We start from the raw sequence: 22098 nt of genomic DNA, 5'->3' as shown, positions 1-22098 counted from the left end.
TCTGATTATGATGAAATGGTAATACGTATTTCTCTTTATGCCAGTTTCCAATTCATGACAGGTTCTCCAAAGGGAAGCCCTGTTATTAGTACCTTATGTATTTTTTTCAAAAGCATTATTTACATCAAAATATATTTCAAAATGCTTTTATGTTATGGATAAAATAACATCATACCTCACTGTATTATTATATTTAATCCACACAAAAATAATTAGTACACTTTTGTTAAACTCAGGTTTGGAAGGCTTAAAAGGAGGTAAAAATAAACTTTTACTTTGCATTCTTAAAAGACAATCTTGTTTATGCTATATTTCAGGACAAGCAGCTTAATAGAAAAGCGAAGATTCTTCATTAAAATTTGAAAAAAAAAACTGATTATAAAAGGTCTTGTACTAAAATAAATTCAAAGTTCAATTTATCTCTTATAGCATTGTAAGCTAAAAACAACCATCTTAGTTGTATGGCATTTTTAGAACCTCCTTAAATTTCTTTAAAACACTGATTACCACTTGGATAGCAATAATTTAATATCAACTCAGAACTAAAGAAAGTTCCAATCTTTTTAACTAGTTCACAACATTCTAAAATCTTCTGATTTATTTATCATATACACTACACTTATTCAAAAGCTTCTTACTTTCTTTTATCAGGCTCAACTTCATTAGCTCTTAATATGTTTTAATAATAAATATATCTACAGATTTTTTCTATAATATTTCTCAGTTCCATATTAAGGATGAATAAGTGCTTCCATACAACTTAGGCAAAATCACTGCAGCTTCCAGGCCCCTTAGCTCAGACATACAAGATCAGCATTTCTACTGCCCTAGTCCTAGACTACCTCAGCATTCCCCAAAAAGGCTTATTAAAAAGCCAAATCCCTGGGATCCACTTTGGACCTACTGAATATGAATCTTTAGTGAGCTGTAGAGCAATCTGCATCTTGACAAAATTCTGTGCCAATTCTTAACTGTATTAATATTAATATTATGCTGTGAAATAAGCCAGACACAGAAAGATGAGTACCGCATGTTCTCACACACATGGAAGCTAAAAATGTTGATTTCATAGAAGTAGAGAATAGGATAATGGCTACTAGGGGTAAGAAAGGATGGGGAAAGGGGGAGATACTGAAAAGTTTGTTAATGAATACAAAGTACAGCCCGATAGAAGGAATAAGTTCTAGTGTTCTATTTTTGGGCAATTAACTTTTAACTATTTTAATATATATTTAATAACACATATTTAGTATATATTTAATAACATTCACATTTATTTACACTTATATGAGTTGGGGGGAAACGAGTCAAATATCCTTTTATTATCACTGGATGAACAGCATCTATTATGTACTTCTCTATGAAATATATATTTAATTGAGTATTGAATATAAAAAGAACTTTAGATTAACAGTTTTCTATTGAAATGGCTGATATGATGGTAAATGAGAACACTTTTCAAAAATAGTTTACAGTTTAGTTATTTGTTTTGTGGGGAACGTAATGTTAAAATATAGAAAGACATTTAAAATACATGTTTACACTCAACCCAGCTCTTTTAATATTTCTGTAAGAAAATTATGAAAGTGTCATCGAGATCGATTCTGATTTTTCACTTTTGTTAAAAGCTATCCCCCAGAAAAGTGAAAAGATGACTATTTTACATTTCTTAATAGGAACATCCTAATTAAGATTTTGATGATGTTTTCTAAAAGCTAAAGCATTTATTTTCTATCCATTTCTGAGTCAGACATGCAGCCTTACCCATTAAGAAGACCTGCAAAAAGCTTTGAAGTAAATTATGTGCTAGGAATTACAGTTATGTCAATAACTGTAATTAACAATTTATTGTATATTTTCAAATATACAATAGAAGAGCAGATTTTAAACGTTCCTAACACCAAGACATACTAAATGTTTAAGGTGATTGATATGTTAATTATATTGATTTGATCATTATACATTGTATACCTGTATTAAAATATCACACTGTACCCTATAAATGTGTATAATTGTTATGTCAATTAAAGATAATAAAAGCAAAAAGATCTACAAAAAAGAAATTTTGAGAACTACTGAAATTGGGTCCATTCAGCTTTAAGGAATATCAGAATCTGATATATCTAGAGGCCAGATGTATTTTCCATTCTGGGATACAGAGTAAGCAGGCTTTATTGCTTTGTTCAAGGTGAGATTGTTTATTGCTGGCTGTGCCACTAGGTATCCAACCAGACATTTCCACGTAATTCACCTAAGGTCATAAAATATGGCCTCCTTTCCCATAGTATTCTTGGGATTTTTTTTTGAATCTTTTGAATAACTCAGGAATGCTTCCTCAACTTTTGAATGCTCCTCAACCTCAGGTACCCGGCAGCTGAGTACCTCCTGACACAGAAAGCCAAATACACTTACTATAGAATACACCATTTGACCCTGCAATCCCATTACTGGGTATATACCCAAAGGAATATAAATCCTACTAGAATAAAGATACATGCACACATATATTCATTGCAGCACTATTCACAATAGCAAAGACGTGAAATCAATGTAAATGCCCATCAATGGTAGACTGGATAAAGAAAACATGGTACATATACATGATGGAATACTACGCAGCCATAAAAAAAGAAGAAGATCATGTCCTTTGCAGGAGCATGGATGAAGCTGGAGGCCATTATCCTTAGCAAACTAACCGAGGAACTGAAAACCAAATACTGCATGTTTTCATTTATAAATGGGAGCTAAATACGAGAAAACGTGAACACAAAGAGGGGAACAACACATACTGAGGCCTACCAGAGGGCGGAGGGTGGGAGGATGGAGAGGATCAGAAAAAGTAACTATTGGTTGGTAGGCTTAGTACCTGGATGACAAAATAATCCACATATCAAACCCCCATGACGTGAGTTTACCTATATAACAAGCCTGCATGTGTACTTCTTACCTAAAATAAAAGTTAAAGAGAAAAAGAATACACTCTAGAGAAAGAATCTCATGTAGTTCAGACCTACGCTAGTGTGGTCATCAATTTCAGACTTATGAGCAATTTATGCACTGTTGTTAACTGCAAACAATTAAAGTCTAATCTCTCTTTGACGCCTTCAATTAGAAATGACAGCAGTTCTCTCTTTCTGTCTATGATGACTAGGTAGCATGACAATAAAGTATTCCAATTAATATTTTTCAATTAAATAATTTTGTTGAATCTGATATTTCAGCAAGGACTTTTTTTAGCAAAGACAAAAATGGATTTTGTCCAAATTAGAAGTAGATTCGTATTTTTAATTTTAAACTTGGCATTCAACTTATATAGTGAAAGTTATAACATTTTTAGCTATCAGAATATTACTAATCAGTAATTCTGATAAGCAAAAAGAAGGAGTGTCAACTTACAAGGAAGTCAGCATATTGGAACCTGGATCAACAAAAGTTTGTAAAACTCTTAATGCTTGGTGAGTTCTAAATGTCTATCTGAAATTAGGTGCTTTGGCAAGCAAAACTTTATCCTATCCCAAACCATTAAAATAAGCCTAAAGTTGTAATTAATTTTAGAACCGGGCTCTTGGATTTCCTACATAGCTTTCATTTTGATTATTAGGTATGAATTTCACAACTAATCACTAAAGTGAGTTAATTTCCTTATATGAAACAATCATGTAAATTTATAGTCTAAAAGTAGCTTCAAATATGAACTTAGACCATAATGGCAAAAGGGTTATAAGCAATGCTTTGTCTCTAGGATATAAAAGGTACCTTTGAACAGGAACAATTATACTGACTCTAACTAGTGATTTATTTTAATTTACAAATTTTACTCTTGGTCATATATTCCAAGAATATCTGGCTTGTCATTCAACAATTGTGGTGTCCTAATTCTCTCCTTTCAATCTTAAAATTCTTATAGCTAAATTAGTCCAAGAGAATGCTTTATATGCCCCTGAAGGATGAGCATGGAAGCTGCCCCTTGTTGGAAGGCTAGGCTCTGTGGTGAACAAGTAGGCAAAACTCAGATAAAGTCAAAATATGCTAGGAATTCCCTTGGTATGACATTCTTCAGGAGCCTGACACATTGTCTCTTAATACACCCAGTTTTTCCTGCAATGTCAGAATGGACTGTGAGGCCTTGGGTTGACCCTACATAAAGTTGTTGGCTTACTTTGAAAACCTCACTGTATGGAAAATACCCATAGTTTTTTTTTTTTTTTTTTTTTTTTTTTCCTTTCAGTTCTGGGATGTATGTGCAGAATGTGCAGGTTTGTTGCCTAGGTATACATGTGCTATGGTGGTTTGCTGCACCTATCAACCTGCCATCTAGGTTTTAAGCCCCGCATGCATTAGGTATTTGTCCTAATGCTCTCCTTCCCCTTGCCTCCCATCCCCTGACGGGTCCCAGTGTGTGATGTTCCCCTCCCTGTGTCTGTGTGTTCTCATTGTTCAACTCCCACATATGAGTGAGAACATGCGGTGTTTGGTTTTCTGTTCCTGTGTTAGTTTGCTGAGAATTATTGTTTCCATCTTCATCCATATCCCTGCAAAGGACATACCCACAGTTTTATTAAAATCACACTTAATGCTGCAAATATACCCACTTAAAGGGGCACATAGAGACAAAACCAAAGGAAAAAGGCATATTCATGTTTCTCTGTTACTTTCATTCAGAAGCAAAAGATTAGTGATTTGGGAAAGGTTGGATTGGTTGAACTACTTAAATTTGTTTTCTGTCTCTGTCTGTTTCCAAACTTAGTTTAATTTCTGTAAGCTAAATGAGCATATGATATGAATGCAGTTTATTTGCAAAAATTAGCTGCCCCTATGTAAGAAGGAATTATTTTAACCCTTAATTAATTTTAATCAATAATACATTTTCATATTATTAACCAATTAGCCAACATTTCTGACTTGATAAATTTTCAGATTTTTTGAAATATAATACACATGATTTATTTAGATTTCACTATGTAAAACTATATATCGTTTGTATACAATTTTATATATAATATAATTTATATATTACATATAATTTTTATATATTATGTTTTATATACACATAAAACAAGTATAACACTGGCGCCTACTTTTAAATCAATTAATTTATGAAATATAGGTGATTCTTTTTGTTTCTCTTTTCATTACTGCAAAGGAATTAAGTTCATTCAATGGAAAATAACAGCAGTTCCAGAGTACACTCAGGGAAATGCAGTAGAAATAACAAAGTTGAAAAATGTAGAAAAGTTGTTAGGAAATATCTTTTTTCCATCATCTCATATTTTTTCCCAAATAATTATGTGATACTACTATTCTGTAAATACATATCTTTACCATTAATAAGGAGGGGCTTATTCTGTTTATTCTTTTAATGGATGGAATCATGGAATACTTTTATTTATATGTTTTTACCAGGAGCAAGCTTATAACTTTGATTGGATCAAAGAAAATATGAGGTGGAAAATTTTGTTTTAAAGTGAGGCACCAAAAGACTAACACCAAGAGGTTAAGTGTTCAACATGCCTCACTGCGAATATCTTATGCCATGCTCCAATTTACTTCTCTCTATAGCAATTTGGTTAACATTGACAAAACCCAGTGGATAGTAACAGCCAAAATGGGCAATTAGAATTCTCAGGAAAGTAGATATTCCTGGCCTCAATTATCTGCATAATTCAGTCCAACCATAGGTGTAAAATATCTGCATTTGTCCAGACACTGTGTTGGGTATTGTGGAAGATGCTAAAATGAGTAAAAGTGCGTTTCTACTCCTTAGAAGAGCTTATGTTTCCTTATTTCTCCTTTGCTGGTTCCTCCTTCTGTCTCCCAATTCAGGTGGCAAAAATTCAAATCATACAAAAAGTCCATAATAAACAGTAACAGTCTCATGTCTCTCCCTCTTCACTTGTTTCCTGAGTGACAAATATTGTTGTTTCTCACATCTTTTCAGAGGTTTTCTATGTCTATCCAAACATACCTGTATGTAAATGTATTTAAAACAATTCTATGTAATGAAAAATTAGCATCATACCTTATGATGCCATGCCACAAGGTCAGTTTCTGAAACCTCTTAAGCTGCTTTCAATTTATACTCTCTCCATAGCTGATTTCATTCAGTCCCATGAATTTAAACACTATCTATATGATAATGATTCTACAATCTGAACCTCTAGCCTTTCTTGGAATTCCTGGCTTACATATCCCCTATCTACTCAACATTTCCACTTGAAGTCTGATAGGCATCTCAGACTTATCTTGTCCCAAAGCAAACTCTTTATTTCTTTTCATCCTAGTCTTTATTTCTTGTGCTGTCTTACCCATCTCAAAAGAGTGCCAAAATCCACCAAGTTGCTGAAACAGAAATCTAAGAAATATCCTTGATTCTTCTTTTTCCCATCTACTTCACTTCTAATTCATTAGTAAATAATCTGTTTCAGAAAACCAAACACCTCATGTTCTCACTCATAAGGGGGAGTTGAACAATGAGAACACACAGACACAGGGAGGGGAACATCACACACCACGGCCTGTCAGGGAGTAGGGGACAAGGGGAGGGACAGCAGTAGGACAAATATGTAATGCATGCAGGGCTTAAACCCTAGATGGTGGGTTGATAGATGCAGCAAACCACCATGGCACATGTATACCTATGCAACAAACTTGCATGTTCAGCACATGTATCCCAGAACTTAAAGTAAAATTAAAAAAAAAAAGAAATGTAAAATAGCCAACCACTATAGAAAACCAATTTGATAGTCCCTTTTAAAGTTACTTATTTACCACCCAACCCAGAGAAATGAAAACATCTGTCTGTAAAAATAGTTGTACATGAATATTCATAGTGGGTTTATTCATCACTCATAAAAGCCTCTAAAAACAACCCAAGTCTTCATCTACAGGCAAATAGTAAATAAATTGTTGTGTATTCACTCACTCAGCTATTAAAAGGACCAAATTTCTGATATTTGAACTAGTATAGTATGGATTAATTGAAAAAATGTTACGTTGAGTGAAAGAAAGCTAAATTCAGAATTGTAAATACTGTGTGATTCCCTTTATATATAGGTGTAGATTGGGCAGAATAAATGTATGATGATAGGAAGAAGATCAATGGTTGCTACATAAGGTGGTGGTACCAGGTGAGGAGGAATTCGCTGTAAAGGAACATGAAGGAAATCTGTATTTTGATGTGGTGATGGTTACATGGGAATTTACGCTTTTTAAAGCTGCCTCATACATTTAAAATGTGTGTATTTTATTATATGTAAATTATACTTCAATAAACTTCATTCACACACACACACACACACACACACACACAAATAACCGGTTTCCTTCCCAAACACCTTGCATTCATTCATCTCTCCTGATCCTCAGAATCATCATCCTCGTCCAAGTTACTATCATACCTCCTGTGCACTATTGCACAAGCTCACTACCAGCCTCTTCCTTTTCATTCTAAACCACTCCCCAAACAAACAAATAAACAAACCAACAAAAACTCTGTTCTCCATGAAGCAGCCAAAGTTCCATTTTTTTAATATGGTAAAATCACATCCCTTCTTCGCATAAGTTATAAAGTCTAAATGCTTTCCATTATTCTGAGGATAAAACTCTCCCTAGCTTACAGAGTCATCTGTGTCCCAGCACTTGGGTAGCTTTCTGAGCTTATCTGATGTCACTCTCACTCCAAACCAGCTGGGAATTCTCCCAATGCACTAGGCTTATTTCCTTTCCTCATCAGGTCAAGCTTGGACCCACCATAGGGCCAGTGCGTGGGCCATTCAAATGGCATTGCAAGGCTCTTTGCTTTCACTTCGCTGTAGCTGCCTACCCATCATTCAGATCTTTGTTTATTTATTACCCCCTCCAAAAAGCCTTTCCTGGCCGCCGAGTCAAGAACAACTACTGGCTCTTTCAAATCCAGCAGACAATCCATCACTATCTGACTTTGTTTGCCTAATTATTAATTCATTAATTTTCTGGCTTACTAAGCTAAACTCCAAACTCCATGAGAGTTATGGTTTTGATTAAAACTTGATTATAGCTCTAACTACCTCAGTGTTTAGATCAATGCCTGACATGTGTTATGCATTCTATACATTGTTAAGTAAATACATGAGTGAATGAATACTTTAAGTGCAAAGAACATATTTTCATTTAAAAACTAATCAAACCATGCTCTCTTCAAAAGAGCAAGGTTACTTAAAGACGATATCAAAAAGTAAACTCCTGCTATTGTTACCAATTTTGCTATATTATCCCCTTACATTTTCCTGTTTATTTCTCTTACCATAACACTCATCACTATTAACTCTGCTTTCTATATATCTATTTGCTTAAACTCTGTCTCCGTATACCAAAATGAAAGCTCTCCTTGGGAAGTGATTTTGTCTGTCTTTTTTCACTACTGAATGCACAATCTTGGTAAGTGACTTGAACAGAGACACTCACAGATTTTTGTGGAATGAGTGAAGCTATAAGGTACAGTTGAAAGTGATTGATTAGGTATTCTCAGTCTGCAATGAGGAAACATAAGCACTCTTAGTTCAAAGAAATGGACCAAGTAATTTTAGTAAGCACTTGAGATCATGGATCTCCTTATGTTCCTCTAACTCAAATTCTCTCAGAGCTTGGGAAAGCCATTGCAAACATTTTGCCTTAGTTTTTGCTCCTTGAAAAATGGAAATTAAATGAAATAAACAAACCAATTAAAATTATCTTATCTTTTTAGAGCAAGCCCTACTTGAGAGTTCAGTAATTACCACCAACCGATTATCATTCAGGGATAAGTAAGCACAAAGAAGAAAGTAAGAGCTATGGGAGAAAAAAATCAGAGGGGCAATTTTTGTGCTGCTTAGGATAAGACTTCTCCTGTTTTGTTGAATTTGTTCATAAAAGCTCTAAAGTCTGGGGAAATGCTTCTGGGCAGCAAAGCAAAGTTTCGAAGATTACAGGTCTAAGGAGAAATTAATAAAATGCAGTGGGGAAATTAAGTTGAACAAAAGTGCAATGAGGCATAGTTAAACCGATTAATTAAACAGGTTTTGATATGTATATAACTGGGTTGCTGAAGAATTAAAAATAAATCCAAGATTTTAAGTAAGTGTTCGGTATTCAATAAAACACCAAAAGGTAACATTCAGAAAACTTGTAGTTTTTTTTAGTAGCGTTCTTTGATGAATTTCTTTCTCATTCATATGCCTCACCAACTCTCTTTTCCCCAGTAATCTTAAAGAAACTATGCTTTCAATAATATGCAAAAGTCTTAGACTTTGCTCGATTTTCCTCTACATTCTTCTTACGCCAGTTTCAAAACGATGATACTTTCTTGTGGTATCAACTAGGAAAGATTTATTTTTCAGTAATATGTCTACAATTTTTCAGAAAGCAATGAAAATTATCTTGCTTAATGCACCTGCAACCTGGCAGGTGTGACACAGAGCAGGTATTGAAAACACAAGACCAAAAGCTGGGTGTCACAAAGACGGAGGTTTGATTCCAAACTTATCACTTATGAGCTATGAGACCCTGCACACGTAGCTCAGCTCCTAAAAATTTCAGTTTCCTTCACTGTGAAAATGTTAAGTTTGATATTTGAAAATTCCTTGGCTTAATGTCTGGCAGAGACATCTCTCAATAAACTGAAAGTATTAACAGTAGAAGCAGATTCCAACTTGCAGATATGTTTCGAATGTCAAAATTGCTTGTTTGGAAGTTTAAACATATATTTCATCAAAAATTATATTAAAAAATGAAATGGTCAGTGGTAAGCAGGTTTCTAGATGAACCTTCAAAACCTTCATTTACCATAAAATGATTTAAGTCAAAAATTCTTCTAATTGTCTTCTGGTTAGGGGGGTCAAATGGTCCTTGTTTTTTTTCTGGACTTTCCTGGTTTTAGCATTGAAAGTCCCTCATCTTGGGAAACCCTTTGTGCTAGACAAATTTTAGCATGATTCCTTCGTTTGGAAGCTAATCATTATTCCTTTGTTCATCCATTTTTTTCTGCAGTCCCAGGTATGTTCTTAGGCTCTGGAGATATAAGGGCAAATTGGATATGGTCTCTGCCTTTAATAAACTTAGAGCCTAGCAAAGAAGACGACAAATGAACAAGCGTCAGCAAGCCCTACACAAAATGCTAATGATGGCGGCTTGCCCAGGATGCAAAGAAACATAGCTGATAGGCACCTCATGCAGACTTGGACGAGGTGATCACTGAAATGGATCTGAAGTAGGTATGCAGCTCAAACCAGTGCCTCCTATTTAATTCCTTTGGACATTTTCCATTTCTGAGCTGAGAGTTCCTTAAATATACATATTAAAATGCCGTCTCTTTAGATTCCCTTATGTCGTTATCTAAACAGATTTTGAATAACTTCTGATATGCATATAATCTTTATGGAAAACTTAGTAAAATATCAATATAAATAACCAGAAACCTTTGCTTTTATAGCAGTTCCTCCTACTTTGGATATATAACTAACTTAAAAATCTCCTTTTAAAACTGCAAACTACCTGCTTGCTTTTTTATTATTTGGAATTAATTTCACAAAGGAAATAACTAGAACGCCCTGTTAAATCGAAAACAAAACAGACGTTATCATAAATAATATTGTTCTAGCCATAATACTGCAGTAGTTGCTCTAAGGTTAGTGAGTTAAAAATGTTTCCCAAAGCTTGTGATCAAAATATCGGCATTTTATTTTTGCATTCTTCAATAAGTTTTAAAGTATTCCTGGAGCATGTCTTTATCGTTACAGCAAATGCTATAGCAAGAAGATGATAAGACAGACTGCTCATACAACCGAAAGCTCGGGTGTAACATACACGGATTAACAGCATGAATATTCGGTTTCCCTCCTGGGGAAAGAAACATTTTTCATAGACTCCGAAGGTGAGAAAGGGACTTATTCTCAGGCAGACTGTAAACTTCATGGGGGGCAGGGACCATGTCAATATTGTTTACTGCTGTGTTCCCAGTACCCGGAACATAACTGAGGCACAAAATGGTTGAGTAAATAACAAAACAAATTTACAAGTCTTCATCCTGTATTTCCAACAAATGATTATTCAGTCTCTGAAAAGCTCTAGCAACTGAAAAACCATCTTTGCCACTTGTCAAAATCAGTAAACCTCTTTGACACCAGTAAATTATGCAGCTTAAGTTTCAGGGTTAGCTAATTACAACATGACATCAAAACCACATGTTCTATTTTTGTATTAGATTATATCTCCAATCTTGACTAATAACCTTTGAGATATTGCATAGAAATTTACTAAGAATGTTCATGTGATTATTATAAACCACCCTTGCTATGAAAATATATCTCATAACATGCTTTCTGTAGAATATGAACCAAAATCTTTGGTTTATAGGCTCATCAACTGCTCTATAATCATCCTGTATTTTAAGTCCCACAGAGAATTATAAATATATGTCAGATAATGGCCTTACTGACTATAAATGCTGTTAGTAATTTTGAGCTCTCAAACAAAGGAAAATAGTAAAATACCCACTTACGAGTTTTGTTTTGCATTTTGATCATGATATCTATATATTTTATACATACAATATTGCTAATGCATACATATGCTACACTTTTGACATCCACTTCAAATTCAGTGGGACTTTTTTTTTCTTATTTTTTGTAAAAATGGGGTCTGGCTATGTTGCCCAGGCTGGTCTTCAACTCCTAGGCTCAAGTGATCCTCCTGCTTTGGCCTCCCAAAGTGCTGAGACTACAGGCACGCACCTGCCATGCCCAGTTAATTTGTTAAAACTTTTTTGGTAGAAACAGGTTCTTGCTATGTTGCCCAGGCTGATCTTGAACTCCTGGGTTCAAGCATCCCTCCTACTTTCTCTCAAAGTGCTGGGATTACAAGTGTGAGCCACTGCACCTGTCCATAAGTTATTTTTAATTTCTAATCTTTTAAAATATCTTTTTAAATTTTATTATTATTCTTATTATTATATTTTTACCTTTGAAGTTTACTACACCAACTGCAGTTGAAGCCAATCTGAGAAGATACACAGGGGCCACATCTGTTAAACTGGAGGCATGCTAGGGAAGAGGAAAGAACAGATTCACCAAGACTAACAGGCAACTTGGAGGGGAAAGAGATTACTCAACCAGAATAAAAATCACTGCCCCCTAATCCTCAGGAGCAAAATGCCCATGCATGCCAAACACAATTATAATGGTAATTATTTAATATGATTATTATAACTATTGAACAGATCAGATCATCAAATTTAGAAATCATGTTTTCCACCTAGGTTTACATATTCGCTTACTGGGTAATGGGGTCATCTCCACAGCCGAAATGTTGGTAATTTTTGACATTTGTAGCTCTACTCGGTGGTATTCATAAATTGTTCTTCTTCGAACATCTAGAAAAAAAAGGAAAAAAAATCAATTTTTAACCTTTCCTCGCTTACAAAACAACAGCATTTTAATAATGGATATAGAATTATATACATATAGCCCAATGTGGTTTTAAAATTAAGCCTCATCCTGTGAGAAGACTGATTACAAAATATGTAAAAATCACATGTCAAGTAACCAGAAGTCTTTTTATCAGCGAAGTTGAAAGTGTTGATTAGGGTCTCAGATATCTCACTTACCTATTAAGGCTTCGACTCATTCTCACTCAGACTATACTAAAGATTTTTTTGGATAAATTTACATATTTTCAAAGATTTTGACTCATGAAATCAAGAAGGTAAGATGATACCATTTCTTCCATACTAAAGCTAAAGTGTTTAGAAATGGGTAATTAGAAATGTTTCACACTCTAAATAAAGTTAATGGAGAATAACAATGTGATTGCTTTAAAAGTTTAGAATAAACTTCTTCAATAAAAGTAAAACAGAAGTTAAATCATTCTTCCATTTCCTGGTGATCATAGTTAATAATATTGCATTGTGCTTGAAATTCAATAAAAGAATAGATTTTTAAGTGTTCTCACGACAGACACACACACACACACACACACACATAACTGTGCGAGATGATGAATGTGTTAATTAGCTTGATTGTGGGGAACATTTCAGCATGTATAAATATATCAAATCATCACCCTGTATATCTCAAATACATATGATTTTTATTTGTCAATCATATCTCCATAAAGCTGGAGGGAAAAAAGGAAGTTAAATCACTTTAAAAATAAGGATTGCTATGTATTAAATATACAGTATCATATCTAAGGAAGGTTAATTAGCATTTATATTGCACGATGTAGTTTAAAAATCATTAGCAAATCCATCAATGTCCCTGAGGAAGAAGATAGATGGAGACTTTGACAAGAACTCTAATCATTTAAAATATAAGCAAACATATTTTAACATCAAACCACAACAAAACATTTAAATATACTTAAAATCCCCTTTTAAGCCTTATACTAATGTGCTCGCCTGGGTTTGGTCAATGTAAGTGGAAAAATAATGTTGTCAGCATTTTATTCCTCTCTTGAAATGCCTGTACTGATAAGAATGCATTTCCGGAATAACACCACATCTATCAGTAATTAGTGGGGCTATAAACTGTTTTTATTTTTATTTTTGAGACAGGGTCTCCCACTGTTGCCCAGTCAGTGGTGCAATCATGGCTCAATGCAGCCTGGACATCCTGGGCTCAAGCGATCCTCCCACCTTAGTCTCCCAAGTAGCTAGGACTACAGGCATTTGCCACCATACCCACTTAATTTTGTCCTTATTTTTTGTAAAAATGGGGTCTGGTTATGTTGCCCATGCTGGTCTTCAACTCCTGGACTCAAGTGATCCCCCTGCTTTGGCCTCCCAAAGTGATGGGATTACAGGCCTACTCCAATGCACCCCCATGCCTAGTTAATTTGTTAAAACTTTTTTGGTAGAAACAGGGTCTTGCTATGTTGCCCAGGCTGATCTTGAGCCCCTGGGCTCAAGCAATCCTCCTACTTTGGTCTCCCAAAGTGTTGAGATTACAGGTGTGAGCCACTGAGCGTCATAGTGGTTAATAATGTGCTCTGGAACATTCTGTCTGGGCTCAAACCACAGTTTTGCTGTGAGGAATCTGTGTTGCCTCAGGCTCCTTTGCTAGCTTTTCTGTGCCTCAGTTTCCTTATCTATAAAACAGGGATAATAGCACCTATATTACTGCATTGCTTTGAGGATTAAAATGAGATAATATAGGAATATTGCTAGACAGTCCCTTTCACATTGTAAATGCTCAATACATATTAGATACACTTTTTGCCTAACTTTAATATGACAACCTTAGATCATACAAGTTTTTTGCTGCATTTAATAATATAATCTCTATAGATCCAAACTCACTGAAATCACACTACAATCCTGGAATCAAACTTCTAGTAATTTTTCTCCATTCCTCACTTAGAGAAAGTTAAATTTATATTGAAATCATTACACCCAACGATGACCTCCTCTAAAATATAGAGCAGGGAGTGTGGTGGCCCAGATGATAGTGAGTTACCTTTTAGTAGAAGTGTTCAGAAAAGGAAGATACCTACTCATCCGAGAACTTGCAGAGGCTGTCAAATGTTTACTAACAACCTATAAGTATCTCTCCTTCCCTCTACTCATATCTTTTTTTTTAATTATACTTTAAGTTCTAGGGTACATGTGCACAATGTGCAGGTTTGTTACATATGTATACATGTGCCATGTTGGTGTGCTGCACCCATTAACTCGTCATTTACATTAGGTATATCTCCTAATGCTTTCCCTCCTCGCTTCCCCCACCCCACAACAGGCCCCATTGTGTGATGTTCCCCTTCCTGTGTCTTTTTTTCCACTTCTAATTACTCATCATGACATTATACTGCAGAAGGGGTGGAGAAAGGGTCGAAGCAAACCCTTTTGGGGCTAGGAGTGGCTCTGGGTCACAGGCTGAAAATATCTCAGGCGTATCACATTGGAAAACACTGTTTAAGAACTCTAATCCAGTGAAATTTTGGTATAACTGAAAGATGCATATACATTTTTCAAAAAGTAAACTTCATAAAAATCAGAGGAAATGCTGGTTTCATGGTACATAGTAAGGTTTCATGAAGTATATAAATCACATCATTTTTTTTTTAGTTTTTAAGACAAATAAAAAGATGGCTCATCTTCTGTCTGTGTCTAAATAGTATTCATTCCTACGTATTGCTTTCCCATGTATTTTGCTAAACAATTAAGTTCTTATCAATAAATAAATAATGTGGCCTTTCCATAAGATCACTAGGAGGGGGGGTTCTTGAGTCTTTGCACAGTACCTGTCATATTACTTGGTGCTTAAAATACTACTATTCCTTTTATTTCATGTTACACTTTGAAATTCTCAACTACTAACAATGATTGAGAAGCTTCTGAGAGTTATTGATCGTGCGTATGGAGTAAAGAGAAAGTGTGACCATTTTTTGCTATGCTAGTTCTATTACCTGCTCAGAAACCTCTAACTATTGAGAGGAGTTGAATTTAACAAAACCCAAATTAATGAGAATTATTGTTGTTTGATGACCTGCCAATTAACGACAACTTCCAAATGGTCATTTATGTAGTATTTCAGAGATACCTCTGTCAGAAACAAGTAATTAGAATTGTGGTTACCCCTGCCAATACTAGAAGCTTTCATGTGATTCCAAAAATATATTTCGCTCATGGGTCTTCTTCAAGAATAAGCCAAAATAAAGTTGAATTAAACGTTCAGTCTTAGCGATGGTGATTCAACTCCAATAGATCAATACTCACCCATTAGTGCCTTTTAAAAATTAAGAAAAATTAAATCTGAGCGGATTAACACACAGAGAGAAAATGTGATCGAAAGCTTAAGGCGATGTGTTGCAAAGTGCAAATACTGCATGTTTTAGAAAGCCTGATCAGCATCAGCAGGAGGGACAATGTGATCATATGGAAACACCAAGAATCTTCTTTGATCAATATCCACTCTAGCTGAACTGAACACAGACTAATGAGTACCTTGAGGCATGATTAGCCATGATCTAGTTTATTTTTCTGTCTTGAAAGCATAACATTCACACAGAGACTATATGAGAAATCTCCTAACTTGGCTTACTCATATTGTGTAAGTATTATATTTTGTCTGAATTGTCAAATGAATGATTCACTAACATTTCCCTATTTATGTGTTGCCAATGCTTAATGACTGGCTCCATATGGTTGTATCTTATTTCTTTTCTGGTTCAAATCGAGTCCAGCACAAGCACCGTTTACTGAGTACTCTTTAATGGAAATAGCCTGTATCGTATAACCACAAGATTCATTTCCAGCATGAAGACTCAGGAGAAGAGAGACTCTTGAGATACAAATGACACTATTATAGTGGCTACAAGCTTCCCACAGAAAAGTGCAATGCATTAGCAGAATTAGCTAGTTGGAGTTGTTAAATAAAGTAGCTACAAATAAAAAATGCATTTGCCAGAATCATTTTTAAAATCTCTCTCTGTAGTTCTAATTCTCTGAAATAATAATGTCATTAGGCATTCAATAAAACATAAACCTTAGTTGAGCGTGAAATGCTAATTTAAGCCTTTTAGATTTTCCTGTCAACATTCCCTCATTGCTTGCAAAGTTTCAGGACACTGGTAAAACTTAAATGGCCAGAGTTCCTAAGTTACTTGAGTAAGCATGAAGGAAATAAAAAATAGGACCTAAAACAACCTTCAAATTTATTTTTCTCTCACGTATACTTTCCTAATGGCTTAAACCAGCTGCATTTCCTGCCTTCCTTTGATAATTACTTTGCCCTGGACTTGAAATGTTCCCAAGACATTAACTGATAAACACTCAAGGTGATGGACACCCCAAATACCCTGACCCGATCATTACACAGTCTATGCAGGTAAAAATACTCACATGTCCCCATATGTAAAGTATTATGCATCAATAAAAGAAAAAACAATTAAGGAATAAAGAGAGAATCGTAACCAGCAGAGGGACAGTAAATTGTCCACGCAGTGTCACAGTGGGCCGGTGAGGCAGGTGGGCTGCGGGCCTGTGACAATATCACGGTTCCATTGCTGAGGGCTGCTTGTCCTGAACCTGGTGTTTTTGCAGGGGAACATGCCTCCCTGCTCCTGAGACTTATGGGAAGAAGGCATGATATATATTTGCCAAGTCATTACATCTCTCTCTCTCTTTTTTTTTTTTTTTTTTTCCTTTTCACAAAGGAGACTGTGACTTCATTAAATTGAATTGGGTGTGTTGGGTCTCAGAAAACAATATCCCAAAATGAAGGCCTCAGAGGCAGCCACTGAAGCAAATGTTTTTCCTTTTCTTTCTTTTAAATTCGTATAAATGTAAGGGGTAGCAGTGCAATTTTGTTACATGGATATATTGTGTAGTAGTGAAGTCTGTGCTTTTGGCGTTTCTGTCACCCAAATAGTGTACATTGTACCCAATAAGTAATTTCTCATCCCCAAACCCTCTCCCTGCTCCCACCCTTCCCAGTCTCCAGTGTCTTTCTTCCAGGCTGGTCTGGAACTGGCGGGCTCAAGTGATCCTCCCACCTTGGCCTCCCAAAATGCTGAGATTACAGGCACGAGCCACTGCTCCCAGCTAGACACAGTTCTAAATTGTTAAAAATTTACTTTCTCTAAAAGTATTGTATAGGATTAAATGTTAATAAATCAAAAAAATGAAATAAAAGAAAGAATTTAACCACAAGTCCATGAAGAAAGCCTTCCCTGTTCATAAAAATTTTAGAAAAATTCTCAAATATGTAAAAATTGATTAATCAGTGATTTCTATGCCCAGAAAATTTTAGATTTTTTTACTTGTCTTTAAAAATCAAGTCAGAGTCAGTCAACTAGCTTACATTAGAAATGGATGCATTAAACTAATAAAATATCATTTTGTACAATGCTCTCTTTCTTGGAAGTGTTTTATGAGTAGTTACTTTATGAGAAAACATCATGATTTCTATTTATTTCTGCTTTTGTTGAGCCTTTGGTGAGCTAGTGTATACTTGAGAATGTAAGCACCTAATGAAATTGTGCTGTTAAGAGAAGCAATTTTATCTTCTGAAAAATGAATACTTTTGAAGGGTTTTCCATTTTGAGGTGAGCAAAAGTAAGATGACATAATTTACTGGAGATCTGTCGATTGATCTGTTTTTAAGTGAATGAGAAGACTACAACTTTGAAAATAACAAACGAGGCCTAGTTCCTCTGAAAGGGCTTGCACTGGGTTCTAGAAAATATTATAGAATAAAAAAAAGTTCAAGTTTTTCCAAGATTATTTGTATTTTTCGTAAGTTTTGACCACATATTTTCATTATAGCTGCTACATAATTATAGTGAATGTGTCCTACCACTAAATCAAAATTGCAAATTGTTTTCTATGGGAAAAATTAGTTATAATGGTTATGTTTGAAAATTTGTTATTTAATAAATACACTTATATTTGAAAATTTATTATTTAATCACATCTAATATTCTGGTGCCTTTTAAAAAGCAAAGAAGAAATAAGAATAATGTTTACGTAAATATTACACTTGGCATTTAATATTTTATTTAATTAAATATTAATTAAATAAATTAATTAATGGATATGGTCTATTGTTACCCTATCCAACATGATAGCCACTAGGCACATCTGGCTATTTAAGATGAAGTTAATGAATTAAATTCAATTAAAAATTCAATTGCTCAGGCTCACTAGTCATATTGCAAGTTCATAGTAGCCACATGTGGCTACTGAAATCACACTATACGATTCAGATTCACAACATTCCCACCAGCACAGGAAGCTCTGAATAGCATACTGGTCTATGCTATTACTATTATTTTAAATTTAAGCTTAAGATAGTGTGCATATTTCATGGGCAAAGCTGTGTTTTTGTTTGTTAAGGTTATTTTATTCACTGTCTAAAAGTAATTTTAAAAAATTACTGCCTGTGCCGGGCATGGTGGCTCACACCAGTAATCCTAACACTATGGGAGGCTGAAGCAGGAGGATCACTTGAGGTCAGGAGTTCGAGATCATCCTGGCCAACATAGTGAAACCCCGTCTCTACTAAAAATACAAAAATTAGCTGGGCGTGGTGGATGCACCTGTAATCCCAGCTACTTGGGAGACCGAGGCAGGAGAAGCACTTGAACCCCGGAGGGGGAGGTTGCAGTGAGCCAAGATCGTCCCACTGTACTCCAGCCTGGGTGACAGAGTTAGACTCCAACTAAAAAAAGAAAAAAAGTGGTGCCTAGTCTGTAATCTTATAAAGAGACCACATACAGCAAAATATATACCTATAATTGTTCCTCAAAGAGTTCAAAGACCCTCTTTGTAGTATTTTTAAAATATATTTGCTCTGCTAGTTGTCAGTTTTATTTGTGAAAATGCTTAATGTTTCTTATGGAGCTATGAATAATAACCAGCCAAGCAAAGGTGCATTGTAACACAAACAATGTCAATAAATTTAAAACAGTAGATACTGATACGAAGAGGCCTGATGTTAAGAAAGTACCAAATAATGTACTGTGAGTGAGAAAAATAAAGGAATATTCTAAGGGACTCAGATATAGTCACTGTCATAACTTGGAGTAGAACCATTTTAAGTGAGGTCAGCTGCTTTCCAGACTGGTTTCTAGTGCAAGGCCCTGCATGGGAGTGTTAACGTAACTTTCTCTTTACTTAAGTGGCATGGCCTTATCTGTTCCAAATTAAAGAACCACATGGCATGAGTGGATTTTCTGAGTTTCTTGCTAGAAGGATTAAGCTCATTAAGCTCGGAAAGTAGAGAAACAGTGAGGCCCGATGGGATAAGTCAGCACCCCACAGATGATGATTGAAATTCAAAATGTTACATTGGAGGAGAGAGAAACAAATTAGTGCAAATGGCACTAGTGAGAATCGTGCGTGTATCCAGGAAGACCTCTGCATGTTGTGTAAGGATTTGGAAGGACATAAGCTGAGGCTGAGAAAGAATTACTTAATAGAGCTATTTACCAAGAAATTATGGAAATTACAAACAACACATGAATATATGACGGTGTTAAAACTTTCTGGTAATCGAAAGACAACAATGAAATACCATTTCGTGCTTACCAAATTTGCAGAGTTAAAAATGAATATTAGAAAGCTCTTTGGGAAATGGGATATTTCTAATATAACAATGGGTAGTAAACTGGTACAACCTTGATGGAAAGCAATTTGTCAAAATACATTCAAAACAATATTAACATTCAGTATCCACAAATTCACTTTTTGAGAATCAGATACATGCAAAAATTTAGAAACAAGGACGTTTAGCACCATTTTACTGATAATATGCGATGCAAACTATGTAACCAACCTCTTTAGTGACAGGTTACATAAATTATGAAACAGATAAATTTCTTATAACTATTAATGACCACATTTTAGACAGATATTTAACAGTGTAAAAAATATGTTTTATATATGAAGGTGAAAACAGGGGGCAGAATAATTTACAGCATAATGCCAATTTTCTTAATGTGGGTATCTTCATATATGTGTATATTACAAATAAATAGTTGGATACAGATACGTGAAAACATTTATTACTATTTCTCTGTAGTAGATTTCTAAGTAATTTAAATTTTCCTCCTTGGGTTTCCTGTTAATTTATAAATTACTCAGAATTATAATGTGCTATGCTTCTAATCATAATAAGTATATTTTTACATTCATATTTCTGAAATGAACAACCAAAGTCAGTCCTGTACTTAGACCTGTTTTTCATAGCTGTACCTGTGGATGTTGAATTAGCTGATTTCTATGGTTCTTTCTGTTTCTAAAGATTTACAAATACATTTTATGAAAAACAGTGATTTCGAGACATACAGATGGACAGACAGGCAGACATAAGTCTTATGAAGAGACATAAAACAACACACATCAACATAGTCAGAAAGCACTGAAGTTCCAGAGACACACTGTCACTGTGTTTCTTAGTGGGAATCTCCTGTGGTTCCACTCTGAAGGGCACTCAGCTTTGGCAGTGACATCTAAGTTAGTATCGCTGTTTTTTAAAGTGATAACGATGATGGAAAAAACAGTAACTTTAAGTACAAGTGTACTACTTACTCTCTGCTAGGTAATGCATGCTGTGTACACATTGCATTTTTAGGTACTAAGATGCTCATTTTATATAGAAAGAAAGTTACAGAAATCAATTAAAAGTTTAATGTTTCATGACCAATAATCAAATGACAATATTCCTTATACTTGCTTTACTTTTAATTTCCACCTTTTTTAACATAAGTCTTAGTTTTACCATACTTTTCCCTCTCTTTTTGAGGGAGCAAAGGTATTTCTCTTGTAAACTCAGAAGGATTTATCAATTTACTAACAATGCCTGAATTCCCTTTGATATTGAAACTATCAGATCACCTGATCTTTTATGAAAGAAAATAAAGCTACTTTAATTAATCATGCTTGAAATTTACATTGAAATCATTTACTATTTGGGGGTCTTCAAAAACTGAAAAACAAGTGTTTTGTTGTTGATGTGAGGAAGAATGAATAGGGAGAAATTTTAATAATAAATAAATTAAAATTGCTTTACAGCATTTTGAATGCTTTACCAAATCTTCACCAAATCTGATAAGAATGATATAGTAATGGTGATCTACTGGGAAATACTATTTTCCAGGCTTGAGCTCACATTCCCATGTTCCCATGGCTACATGAAGCCAAAGGTTTAGGTAATATAACCTATGTAACTAAAATGATTAATAGAATAGAAAACTGATCTTATGAGAACAGGGTTCTATGTAACACACCTTGGAATACAGAAGAAATGAAACTACTCACTACTTAGAATAATAATCAGTTGTTCCCTAAATCCACTTGGTGGGGGTAAAAAAGTTAACAGAGGCAAAGTATTTAAATTCCCTACAAAGACAATTCCTAATAGTGAGTGTTGCTAAATAAGGGAACTGAATTTTGAAAAGGACTTAATATCGGTCTAAATTCTGATTGTTGAATATGTAACATAGGTCTGTAGGAATCAACTTATTTCTCACAAAAGAACTGTACTTGTATAACTTGCATTGTGCTAATCTTGGGTTATCCTAATCTCTGGCATAAAGATGCACTTTCTGTTAGCTGAGAATACAATGCAACCGTGTATCTCTTGTTAT

At 34.7% G+C, this 22098-nt stretch overlaps 1 protein-coding gene across 3 annotated transcripts in view; it reads right to left on the bottom strand.

The window, feature by feature from the left end:
* PLXDC2 (plexin domain containing 2) overlaps positions 1–22098 on the bottom strand; it is a 473425-nt gene that overhangs the window by 100476 nt on the left and 350851 nt on the right. For all 3 annotated transcript variants that reach the window (NM_032812.9, NM_001282736.2, XM_011519750.3), the window contains 2 exons: positions 12287–12382; positions 11972–12053 (listed from right to left, as the gene is read on the bottom strand). In NM_032812.9, the coding sequence (NP_116201.7) occupies positions 11972–12053; positions 12287–12382 (178 nt within the window). The remainder of the gene's footprint in view (positions 1–11971; positions 12054–12286; positions 12383–22098) is intronic.

This window comes from Homo sapiens, chromosome 10 (genome assembly GCF_000001405.40).
Source record: "Homo sapiens chromosome 10, GRCh38.p14 Primary Assembly".
NCBI lineage: Eukaryota > Metazoa > Chordata > Mammalia > Primates > Hominidae > Homo > Homo sapiens.
The sequence above is the reverse complement of the archived record's forward strand: the minus strand, read 5'-3'. Positions and strand labels throughout refer to the sequence as shown.